The 13,140-nt window shown below is 39.0% G+C and overlaps 1 long non-coding RNA gene across 1 annotated transcript; it reads right to left on the reverse strand.

Annotated features, from left to right (window-relative positions):
• Positions 1–370: 370 nt before the first annotated feature.
• LOC105374110 (uncharacterized) lies at positions 371–11,483 on the reverse strand. The gene is made up of 3 exons (XR_924488.2): positions 11,212–11,483; positions 10,765–10,961; positions 371–991 (listed from the first exon to the last, which is right to left on the reverse strand). It is a non-coding gene; the product is annotated as an uncharacterized LOC105374110 (long non-coding RNA).
• Positions 11,484–13,140: the final 1,657 nt, after the last annotated feature.

Here is a 13,140-nt window from a genome sequence, read left to right on the forward strand (position 1 = left end):
GACTGCATATCCTAATCAAGTCCTGGTGTTACTGGGCTTTGAATCCAGTGGACTTGGGGTATACATGCCCTAGTGAGACACCAGATGGAGCAGCCAAGGAAGTGCTTGCATCATCCCTCCCCGAATCCCCCAACCCCAGGAGCACAGCTCAGAGCTGTGGGACAGACTCCTTCCTTCCACTTAAGGAGAAAAGAGGGGAGAGTAAGGAGGATGTTGTCTTGCAATGTGTATACCAGCGCAATCATGATATAACAGAAAACCATTCCAGGCCCTAGCTCCTGAATGACATTTCTAGGTATACCCTGGGCCAGAAGGGAACCCACTGCCTTGAAGGGAAGAACCCAGTCTTGGCAGGATTCATCACCTGCTGATTGAAGAAATCTGGGCCTTGAATAAACACCAGTGGTAGCCACGTAGTACTCTCTGTGGGCCTTAGGTGAGACCCAGTGCTGTGCTGGTTTCAGGGGAGACCCAACATAGTCTGACCTGTGGTGGCCGCAAGGAGAGACTTCTTCTGTTTGAGAAAAGGAGAGGGAAAAATAAGTGACATTTGTCTTGCAGCGTAGGTATCAGCTCGGCCCACAGTGGGGTAAGCACCAAACTGGCTCCTGAGGTACCCAATTCCAGGCCTTGGGTCTTGGACAACATTTCTGAACTTGTCCTGGGCCAGAGGGGAGCCTGTTTCCCTGAGAGGAGAGACCCAGGACGTGTAGCATTCACCGCAAGCTTATTGAAGAGCCTTCGTGCCTTGAGTAAACATCAGTGGTAGCCAAGCAGTACTCGCCATAGGCCTGAGGTGGTGGTGGCTGTGAAGAAAGACTCCTTCAGGTTGAGGAAATGAGAGAGAAGAGTGAGAAGGACTTTGTCTTGCAGCTTTGGTGCCAACTCAGCCACAGTAGAATAGAGCAGATTTCTAAGGTTCCTAACTCCAGGCCCTGGCTCCTGAACAGCATTTCTGGACCATTCCTGGGCTGGTGGGGAGCTTGCCACCCTGAAGGGAAAGACACAAACATCGCTGGATTTGCCACCTGCTGACTGAAGAGCTCGGGGCCTTGAGTGAACATCAGCAGTAGCCAGGCAGAGGTCACTGTGGGCTTTGGGTGAGACCCAGTGCTGCACTGGCTTCAGGTCTGATCCACTGCAGTCCCATTGGTGGGGGCCACAGGGGCACTTGTGTCACCCCTCCTCTAGTTCCAGGCAGCTCAACACAGAGAGAGACTCTGTTTGGGGGAAAGTAAGAGAAGAGAACAAGAGTCTCTGCGTGGTAATCCAGGGAATTCTCTTGAATCTTACCCCAGGCCACAAAGGCAGTACCTATAAAAGTCTGCAATAGTCACATTACTGGGCTTGGGATGTCCCCTAATGCAGATACAGCTACAGTGACAAAAGACTTAGATCACAATGCATAAGTTCCTGTGAATACTCGGAAAGATTTCTCAAGAAGGACGGGTATAAACAAGCCCAGACTGCAAAGACTACAATAAATACCTAACTCTTCAATGCCCAGACATCAAAGACTTCTCAAGAAGGACAGGGGCAAACAAGCCCAGACTGCAAAGACTACAATAAATACCTAACTCTTCAATGCCCAGACATCAGTGAACATCCACAAGCATTGACCATCCAGAAAAACATGACCTCACCAAACATACTAAATAAGGCACCAGTGACCAATCCTAGAGTGACAAAGATATGTGACTTTTCAGACAGAAAATTCAAAATAGCTGTTTTGAGGAAGCTCAATGAAATTCAAGATAACACAGAGAAACATTCCAGAATCCTGTCAGATAAACTTAACAAAGAGATTGAAATAATTTTTTAAAAATCAAGCAGAAATTCCAGAGCTGACAAATACAATTGACATACTGAAGAATGCATCAGAGTCTCTCAACAGCAGAATTGATCAAGTGAAAGAAAGGATTAGTGAGCTTGAAGACAGGCTATTTGAAAATATAGAGTGAGAGAAGACAAAAGAAAAAAGAATAAAAAAGAATGAAGCATGACTAGAGGATATAGAAAATAGCCTCAAAAGGGAAAAATCTAAGAGTTATTGAAACTAGAGGATATAGAAAATATCCTCAAAATCTAAAAGTTATTGGTCTTAAAGAGGAGGTAAAGAGAGAGATCGGGGTAGAAAGTTTATTCAAACAGATAATAACAAATAAACTTTCCAAACCTAGAGAAATATATTAATATTCAAATCCAAGAAGTTTATAGAACACCAAGCAGATTTAAGTGAAATAAGACTACCTCAAAGCACTTAATAATCAAAGTCCCAAAGATCAAAGATAAAGGAAAAAACCCTAAAAGCAGCAAGAGAAAAGAAATAAATAACATACAAAGGAGCTCCAATACATACAATAGAATACATACAATAGAATACAAACAATAGAATACAATAGAATTCTCAGTGGAAACCTTACAGTCCAGGAGAGAGTGGTATTTAAGGAGCTGAAGGAAACAAACTTTTATTCTAGAATAGTATACTGAGTGAAAATATCATTTAAACATAAAGAAGAAATAAAAACTAACCCAGACAAACAAAAGCTGATGGATTTCATCAACACCTGGCCTATCCCACAAGAATTGCTAAAGGCAGTTCTTCAATGTAAAAGAAAAGAATGTTAATGAGCAATAAGAAATCATCTGAATGTACAAAACTCACACATAATAGTAAGTACACAGAAAAACACAGAATATTATAACACTGTAATTGTAGTGTGTAAGCTACTCATATGTTGTAGAAAGACTAAAATTTGAACCTCTCAAAAATAATAACTACAGCAACTTTTCAGGACATAGACAGTACAATAAGGTATAAATAGTAACAAAAAGTTAAAAAGCAGGGGGAATGAAGTTAAAGTGTAGAGTTTTTATTAATTTTCTCTCTGCTTCTTCATTAGTTAGTTTTTTTCTGCAGTCAATGGTAAGTTGTCATCAGTTTAAAATAATGGGTTATAAGATGTTATTTTTAAGCCTTGTGGTAACGTTAAATCAAGAAACCTATAACAGATCCAAAGAAACTAAAAATAAAAAGCAAGAAATTAAAACCTACTGCCAGAGAAAATCACCTTCACAAAAAAGGAAGGAAGGATGGATGGAAGGAAGAAGGGAAGAAAGGAGGAAGGAAGGAGGGAAGGAAGGAAGGAAGGAAAGAAAGAAGGAAGGAAGGAAGAAAGGGAGGGAAGGAGGGAGGGAAGGCCACAAAACAACCAGAAAACAAATAACCAAATTGCTGTATTAAGCCCTTATCTATTACTAACAACATCGAATGTAAACAGGCTAAACTCTCCAATCGAAAGACATAGGGTGTGGCCTAGGCACAGTGGCTCATGCCTACAATCTCAGTACTTTGGGAGGCTGAGGTGGGAGAATTGCTTTGAGCCCAGGTGTTTAAGACCAGCCTGGGCAACATAGTGAGACCTCATCTCTACAAAAAATAAAATTAGCCAGGTGTGGTGGTGCACACTTGTAGTCCCAGCTACTCGGGAAACTGAGGTGGGAGGATTGCTTGAACCCAGCTGTTTGAGGTTACAGTGAGTTATAACTGTGCACCACTGCATGCCTGCCTGGGCAACAGAGTGAGTCCCAGTCTCTAAAAACAAACAAACAAATCACAGCAACAACAAAAACAGAGTGGCTAAACTGATTAAAAAATAAGACCCAACAATCTGTTGCCTACAAGAAACATACTACACCTATAAAGACACACACAGACTAAAACTAAAGGGATAGAAAAAGATATTCCATGGAAGTCAAATGGAAGTCAAAAAGGAGTAGGAGTAGCTATACTTACACCAGACAAAATAAATTTCAAAACAAAAACTATAAAAAGGACAAAGAAGGTCATTATATGACAATAAAGGAGTCAATTCAGTAAGAGGATATTGTAAACATATATGAACCCAACACTAAGGCACCCAGATATAATATACAGCAAATACTATTAGAGCTAATGAGAGCGATAGACCCCAATATAATAATAGCTGGAGACTTTAGCACCCCCACTTTCAGCACTGGACAGATCTTCCAGACAGAATACCAACAAAGAAACATTGGGCTTAATCTGCATTATAGATCAAATAGATCTAATAGATTAGATACTTGTAAAACATTTCAGCCAATGGCTGCAGAATATACATTATTTTCCTCAGCACATGGATCATTCTCAAGGATAGGCCATATGTTAGGCCACAAAACAAGACTTAATTTTTTCAATGGAAATCATATCAAGTGTCTTCTCTAACCACAAATAAATAAAACTAGAAACTAATAACAAGAGGAAATTTGGAAACTAAATAAACACACGGAAATTAAACGATATGCTCCTGAATGACCAGTGGATCAATGAAGAAATGAAGAAGGAAATTTTAAAATGTCTTAAACAAAAATGAAAACACAACACATCAAAACATGGGATTCAGTGAAAGCAGCACTAAGAGGAAAGTTTATAGCCAAAATTACCTAAATCAAAAATGTAGAAAAATTTCAAATAACCCAATATTGCATCTTAAAGAACTAGAAAAGCAAGAGCAAAGCAAACTCAAAATTAGTAGATGAAAATAAATAATAAATATCAAGCAGAAATAAATGAAACTGAAACAAAAAACAGAACAGAACAACAAAATGAAACATTGATTTTTTTGAAAAGATAAAATTGACAAATCTTTAGGCTAAGAAAAAAAGAAAATTCAAAATCAGAGATGAAAAAGGAGACATTACAACTGACACTGCAAAAATTCACAGGATCATTAGAGACTACTATGAGCAACTATCTGCCAGCAAATTGAAAATCTAGAAGAAATGGATAAATTCTTAGACACATACAACCTACAAATACTGAACTGTGAAAAAATCCAAAACCTGAAAAGACCAATAACAAGTAATGAGATCACAGCCATAATAAAAAGTCTCCTGGCAAAGAAAAGCTTAAACCTGATGGCTTCATTGCTGAATTCTACTAAATATTTAAAGAAGAATGAAACCAATTCTCAAACTCAAAAAATAAGTGGAGGAAGGAATACTTCCAAATTCATTCTATAAAGCCAGTATTACCCTGATACCAAAACCAGACTAAGATACATTTTAAAAAACTACAGGCCAATATCCCTCATGAATATTGATGCAAAAATCTTCAACAAAATACTAGCAAACCAAAATTAACAACATATTAAAAAGATCATTCACCATGACCAAGTGAGATTCATCCCTTGGATGCAAAGACAGTTCAACATACACAAATCGATCAATGTGATACATCATATCAACAGAATAAAGAATAAAAATCATATGATCATTTCAATTGATGCTGAAAAGGCATTTAATAAAATTCAACATTTCTTCATGATAAAAACCATCAAAAAACTGGGTCTAGAATGAACATACCTCAACACAATAAAAGCAATGTAGGCAGACCCACAGCTAGTATCATATTGAATGGAGAAAAATGGAAATCTTTTCCTCTAAGATCTGGAACACAGCAAGGATGCCCACTGTCAGCATTCTTATTCAACATAATACTGGAAGTCTTAGAGCAATTAGGCAAAGATTTCTTGAGTAATATTCCACAAGCACAGGCAACCAAAGCAAAAATGGACAAATGGGATCACATCAAATGGAAAAGCCTCTGTGCAGTAAAGGATACAATCAACAAAGTGAAGAGACAACCCACAGAATGGGAGAAAATATTTGCAAACTATCCATCTGACAAAGGATTAATAACCAGAATAAGGAGTTCAAACAACTCTATAGGAAAAAATATGAGACAATTTAAAAATGGGCAAAAAATCTGAATAGACATTTCTCAAAAGAAGACATACAAATGGCAAACGGGTATATGAAAAGGTGCTTAACATCATTGATCATCAGAGAAATGCAAATCAAAACTACAATGAGATATTATCTCACTGCAGTAAAAATGGCTTTTATGCAAAAGATAGGCAATAACAAATGCTGGCAAGGATGTAGAGAAAAGGAAACCCTCACACATTGTTGGTGAGAATGTAAGTTAGTACAGCCAGTATGGAAAACAGTTTGGAGGTTCCTCAAAAACCTAAAACAGAAGTATCATATGATCCAGCAATTTTACTGCTAGGTATACATCCCAAAGAAAGGAAATCAGCATATCAAAGAAATATCTGCACTCCTATGTTTATTGCAGCACTAATCACAATAGCCAAGATTTAGAAGCAACCTAAGTGTCCATCAATGGACAAATGGATAATGAAAAAGTAGTACATATACACAGTGGAGTATTATTCAGCCATAAAAAAGAATCAGATACTTTCATTTGCAACATGGATGGAATTGGAGGACATTATGTTTAGTGAAATAAGCCAGGTACAGAGAGTCAAATTTCATATATTCTCACTCATGTATGGAAGCTAAAAATTAAAACAAGTGAATTCATGGAGATAGAAAGTATTAATAGAATGATGGTTACCAGAGGCTGGAAAGGGTAGTGGGGGTGGGAAAAAGTGGGGGTGGTTAGTGGGTACAAAAATATAGTTAGATAGAATGAATAAGATCTACATGGGAGGCAGAGGCAGGCAGATCACTTGGGGTCAGAAGTTCAAAACCAGCCTGGCCAACATGGTGAAACTCTGTCTCTACTAAAAATAGGAAAATTAGCCGGGCATCATGGCACATGCCTGTAATCCCAACTACTCGGGAGACTGAGGCAGGAGGATCTCTTGAACCTGGGAAGCAGAGGTTGCAGTGAGCCGACATCCTGCCACTGCACTCCAGCCTGGGCAACAGAGCAAGATTGTCTCAAAAAAAAAAAAAAGAATAAGATCTGGTATTTGATAGCACAACAGGGTGGCTACAGACAACAGTAATTTATTGTACATTTATAAATAACTAAGAGTATAATTCAATTATTTTTAACACAAAGAAAAGATGAATGCTTGAAGTGATGGATACCCCATTTATCCTGATGTGATTATTATCCTGTGATTATTGTATGCCTCTATCAAAATATGTCATGTACCCCATAAATGTATATACCTATATGTCCATAAAAATTAAAAACAAATAAAAAATAAAACATTAACAGTTTCAATCAGCCATGTTAGATAATATACAATCTTTCCATTTTCTCTATAGAAAATAATGTTACAGAACTTTTATATGAAAAAAGAGATAAAAGAATTTACAATTAAAAATATAGAGAAAAAAATTATAGAAGTGTGGTGGGCAGTTAATTAATCAATCTATCACTTTTTTTCTGGATTTTATAATGCATGTGGTTTCTGTTAGAACATTTTAATTTTTCATTTGTTGCAATCTTTTTTTTTTACTCTAAATAAATATTAACACTGGTGCCTTATTCTGTGTAAATTCCTTAAAGGGAGTCCTCCAGAAGTTTTGGGCCCCTAAACCTGGGTCTACTCCTGCTGAGTGCACCACATACCTCCCCCTCTGGAGGGTCCTTTCCAAAAGTGTTGCCACAAACCAGGCTGTGGGCCTGCATTCACAGATCTTTCTTCTTCTCTGTCTCAGGGGAAGTCTCTCTCTCTACTACTTTTCTAGGGATTCTGTGCTCCCCTCTGCCCATCTTAGACCGAGCTCTTTGTTGAGGTCAAGGGTTTCACAAAAAGCAAGACATGTTTTCAGCTGTAAGCATTTTCTATTATTTCCTCTACAAGAATCCCCAAGGCAAGGAAATATTATGGACCTGAATACCAGTTTAGGACTTGAGGAGAGAAGGTTGTGGAAATCTACAAATTGATTTCTCAGTAAATGATCCTGCTCATGCATCCAGCATGAGCTAATATGATTGCTCTAATTGTTTTAACAGTCCTATTAATGTCTGTCTTCAATAAGTAGATGACATTTATATAAAAATTAAATAATATAAAGCATATCTTGAATCCGTTGAGGGGAAAGAATGTTCCTCTAGAGTTGCAGTGACCCCAGCAGTTGCACATAAGAGACATTCTAGTTTTTGCTATACAGTCTGAGGAAGCAACCAGAACTTCAGCAAGTTCTGGGGCTTCTCCCACATCACTGCCATATGCTCCCAGATGGGAACATAAATAAGCAATGAAAAGGGAGTGTTGAAATGAGAGATCTGGTAACAGGTCATTTGAAAAGACAGAGCAAAGACTTGTAGCCATTTTCTAGCAATTTCACAACTACTACTGAAATCAGCATAACATTTGCAACCTGGCCTATGTTAGAAAAAAAAGGCATGTAATATACCACCAATGAAATTGTGGTTTGAATTCTCTCTGAATGTGCGTTTATTTCTCTTTTATCCCAGCTGCATCTATACCTACCTTGCTGTGAAACAGCATAATTAACCGGTAGGTTTCAGGGAGAAGTGATAATTTTCAGCTTATTCTAGGTCATTTTCAGTCAACATTTTAGCTTGAAAATGCTTTTCCCTTCTCCCTTTGGCAGCAGCTTTCAGAAGTGGATTTTGCTGAAGCCTTCTATTTTCATCACTCTGATTGCTTTATTTATGCAGCAAATCACTGATTTGGTGTTTAGGAAATTGTCATGTTTGGGCAGCAAAGCTTTTTAGTTAATGGATTGAGGAGTTCTAAACTTGTTTATAAAATACATGTATTTTTTAAAAGGCCCATAAAGTTCCAACTCATCATTCATTATATTCAGGGTAGTGATTAACAGTAAGTTCTTTTACCATTTACTTCAACTCTTCCTGTCAAATCAACACTGAAGAACATATTTATCTAAACTTAAGAATATCTTGGTACTTGTCTTAATAACTAGGTTGGATAAATCAGTCTTTTCTTTAAACAGCACTCTTAGTACTTTCTTCCCTGAATATCTAATCTCGTTGAATAGAATCCTTCAGGAAAGTAGAAAGATAGCCTGGAAAGATAGCCTCGCTATGACACTTCCCATCTGGAAAATGACTAGGAACACCTCTATTGAAATGACAACAGTGAATGATAGAGAGTAATAGATGCATAGGCCATAGATTTTGGAATTAAGTAGAAATCAAGGTTATGTGCTAGTCTTGGCTCTGCCATGACTTGGTTATGTCACTGTCTGGACCTTTCATGGCTTGTTTCTCCGTCAATGAATTAAGAAAGTTGGATTAGACTATTATAATTTTTTGTTGTTGTTATTGTTTTAAGCAAGAGTTTTTCAAATGAAAATTTACTTGAAATTTAGATATATAATGAAATATATTGGTTTTCTATTGCTGTATAACAAATCTCCCCAAAATTTAGTACCTTAAAGCAAAGGTAGTAATTTATTAATCTCTCACAGTTCCATGGGTTGGGAAATGGAGATTGACTTGGCTGTGTTACCAAACTAAACTTGGCTCTACTTGCCCTGTGTGCAGAAAAAGCCAAACACTAATATTAAGATCTGCAGCAAGAGAAATTATTGCATTTATTGTAGGGTGCCAAGCAAGGAGAATCAGGCAGCTAATGCTTAAGACCTGAACTCTCTGATGGCTTACAAGCAAGGGTTTTGAAAGGCAGGGGTATATTTTAAGAAAGCAGAAGTTACAAGTAAAATCATAGGTGAATACATGGAAGTTACATATTGGTTTGGCCCAAAAAGGTAGGATATCTTGAAGTGGGAGCTTACAAGTCATAGGTGAATTCAGAGATTCTTTGATTTTGCAATTGGTCAAGGAAGCAAGGCTTTTGCTAAAAACTTGGGGTCAGCAGAAAGAATTGTTAAGGTGTGGTCTGTGGGCATGACCTTTTCCAGGACCCTCAGGAAGAAATTTAGAACAAAGAACAATGGTCAGAATGTAGTTCTCAATTCCTTCTTAACTGAGGTCTACTTGATGGTGGTCAACATTTTCCATTTGTTGGGGAAAAAAATAACTCAAGAATATATGTCAAGATGTCATCTTTTGCTTTTATAGGGAGCCAATATCTTATGAGTCTAATTTACTTGGGTCTCACTAGTTGATAGCTGTTAATGTCCCCCTTGTTTTTCTCCCTTCAGGTGGCTTCTCTTCAGTGATTTCCATTAACTTGCAGAACTTAACCTTGTAAGTATTGATATTAGAGGCATTTATTTTTACTGTGGTTAGAGGAGAGAAAATGTTAGGTCTTTGCAGGACCCATCTCATGTGCATGACTCCCTGCAGCCCTCAGCAACCCTTTCTGAGGTTCTCCCTTCTTCAGGATCTCAAAGGCACTGGAGAACTGTGAGAGCTGGAGCCTAAGGGGAGACCAAGGAAGTGCCAGCCCCAGTCTTAGAAAACCCTCCTCCCTGTCCCCTACACGCTTCTAGGTAACCCGGGGTGGGACAGCATCTCTCTCTCCCCCTGCCCCCAGTAGTATCCTTTAAAGGGCTTGGTGGGAACATCCAAGGCCCTGAATCTGCCAGTGCAGGTGCAGTCGACACCAAGCGGAAGCCACCCAGCTGGCTTTTAATCTGTCCGACCTAGCACCACTGGACTGTCTCAAGTCCTCCAGAATCCTGGCCCCCCCTATATTTGGGGGGATTCTTGAAGGCACATGTTTTTTGTAGTTATTGCTTGCTCTGACTTCCTGCTTCTGTTGATTGCTGTCCCTTGCAGCCACCTCCTTCTTTCTGCCTTGCATCCACCCAAACATTGGATCCAACTTTCTTTCCTTGCCTTCTCCAAATATACCTCACACTCCTATGGAGCCTTTGCTACTGGGTCTGTGGGGGCAATCACAGTGCTGGGGTTGGGAGGCCCTGTGGGTAAACACAGCAGGTCAGTTAATATCAGATATCAGGGATCCCTGTTTTCAGAAGTTCCTCCGCCAATCCTCCCACCTGTCCCTTGCTACTCACTGTCTCTTCCTGGCTCCTACTTTCCTGCCTTCTTGCTTGGTCTCCACTCAGCTTCTCTCTGGTTTCAACCCCTTTATTTCCTCATGCTGTGGGGAGCTCTCACAGAGCTCAACATTCTTCCATCTTTGCAGGAGGAGCAATTTTATTCTTCAGTCATGTTCCTAGTTTGATCCAGGGCATGTGTTGAGGTTATCTTTCTACACACACAAAAAATTTTTTAAATACAAATATAAATGCATATAAGTAAATATTTTTATATCTATTCTCCCTGAGATTTTCCAATGCCTAATATTAAACTAACCATCTTTATTTTAGCTCCCACTACCCATATAAGGGTTTCATGGTGGGGAACGAGCCACAGGACAGAAGGCTGTGCGGCAAAATAGTTATGCCTTTAGCTTCTGGACACAGAGAGACCCAGATATGAATCTTGGCTCTAATACTCACTTGCTATGTGATCTTGGGCAAGTTATTCAACTTCTCTGAGCTTCAACTTCCTCACCTGTAAAATGGAGGTAACAACAACTATCACCTTATAGGGTTCCCATGAGCATTAAATGAGAAAATACATATAAATCTCAGTGTTTGCTGCTTAATAAGCATTTGATATATAGCTCTTTTATGTAGGTCACTGTATGAAGCAGAGAAGACAATAAGGTTTTGCCAAAAGAATAGTTGTAATAATGTTATTAGCATACACTATTATATATGCCAGGCACTTTACGTGTATTAGTTCATTTTATTTTAACTTTTTAAACTTTTTTTGTAACAGACACCCAGGCTGGAGTGCAGTGGCATGATCATAGCTCACTGCAGCCTCTAATTCCTGAGCTCAAGTGATCCTCCTGCCTCAGCCTCCCAAATAGGTAGGACTACAAGTGTGCACTACCATGTCTGGCTAATTTTTAGAGATAGGGTCTTGCTATGTTGCCCAGCCTGGCCTTGAATTCCTGGCCTCAAGTAATTCTCCCACTTCAGCCTCCCAAAGCACTGGGATTACAGGGATGAACCACTGTGCCTGGAACATTAACTTTTTTTTTTTCTTTTTTTTTTTTTTTTTGAGACATAGTCTCACTTTGTCACCCAGGCTGGAGTGCAATGGAGTGATCTCAGTTCACTGCAACCTTTGCCTCCCAGGTTCAAGCAATTCTCCTGCCTCAGCCTCCCAAGTAGCTGGGACTACAGGCATGTGCCACCACATCCGGCTAATTTTTGTATTTTTAGTAGAGATGGAGTTTTGCCATGTTGGCCAAGCTGGTCTCAAACTCCTGACCTCAAGTGATTCACCCACCTTGGCCTCCCAAAGTGCTGGGATTACAGGTGTGAGCCACCATGCCTAGCCTTAACTCATTTTAATTCACATAATAATTATCTAAAGGAGAGAATATTATTTGTCTCTCAAAGATGTGAAAACTCAAATCATTACTTCAAGGTTACATGGCTAGGAAGCACAGAATTTAAACCAGGCTTGCCCATGTCCTTGCTCTCTACACTATTTTTTCTTCCTTTTTATTTCCACACTGAGCATTAGAACCAGATATACCCTAGAAAGTACAAATCACAGAGTGTATATCTGATTAGATCTCCTGAAGCAGAGGCTGAGATGGAGTTTGGGGCACAGGATGTTTTTTAGAGATCAATACCTGTAGAAGAGGCAGGGAGCAAGAAGAATGAGGCGGCGGAAGGAGGTGAACCCTGATACAGGACTGACAAACCTTTGACCAACCCCACAGGGCACTCCAGAACACAGGTAGCTCATCAAAATGGTTTTAGGAAGCGAAGTAGTTTTTGGTGCAGCAAAATTGAACCCATGGTAAGTATTCACGGGAGGTCAGTTATTAGGAATGTATCAGTTAGCAACTGTATTCAGCTCATATTGGAGACAACAATTTCTCTCAAAACAAATTAGGGATTGGACTTTTCTTTCACATAAAAGAAACCTGGAGATCAGCAGTATGAACTTTCTATACTATCCTCCATGATATCAGCAGATCTACTTAAACTCTTTCTTTTTTTTTTTTTTTTTTTTTTTTTTAGCAGCAGCAAGATTTATTGTGAAGGGCAAAAGAACAAAGCTTGCACAGTGTGGAAGGGGACCCAAGTGGGTTGCCCTCTTAGCTCTGATAAAGACTCCCTCCTTGACCAAACTTTAGCTGAGCTCCACTGAGCTCTCTTCTCAACTAGGCCTAAGCAAATTAATGCAGGAACTGAAAAGCAAATACTGGATGTTCTCATTTATAAGTGAGAGCTAAATATTGGGTACACTTATAAGTGAGAGCTAAACATTGCAATGGGAACACTGGAATTGCGTGAACTGAGTGATCATTTCAGAAAATAAAAGGGTTTTCTGCAAAGGTTTCAGCCCCTGGTGTTTCC

Source organism: Homo sapiens, chromosome 3 (assembly GCF_000001405.40).
Source record: "Homo sapiens chromosome 3, GRCh38.p14 Primary Assembly".
Taxonomy (NCBI): domain Eukaryota; kingdom Metazoa; phylum Chordata; class Mammalia; order Primates; family Hominidae; genus Homo; species Homo sapiens.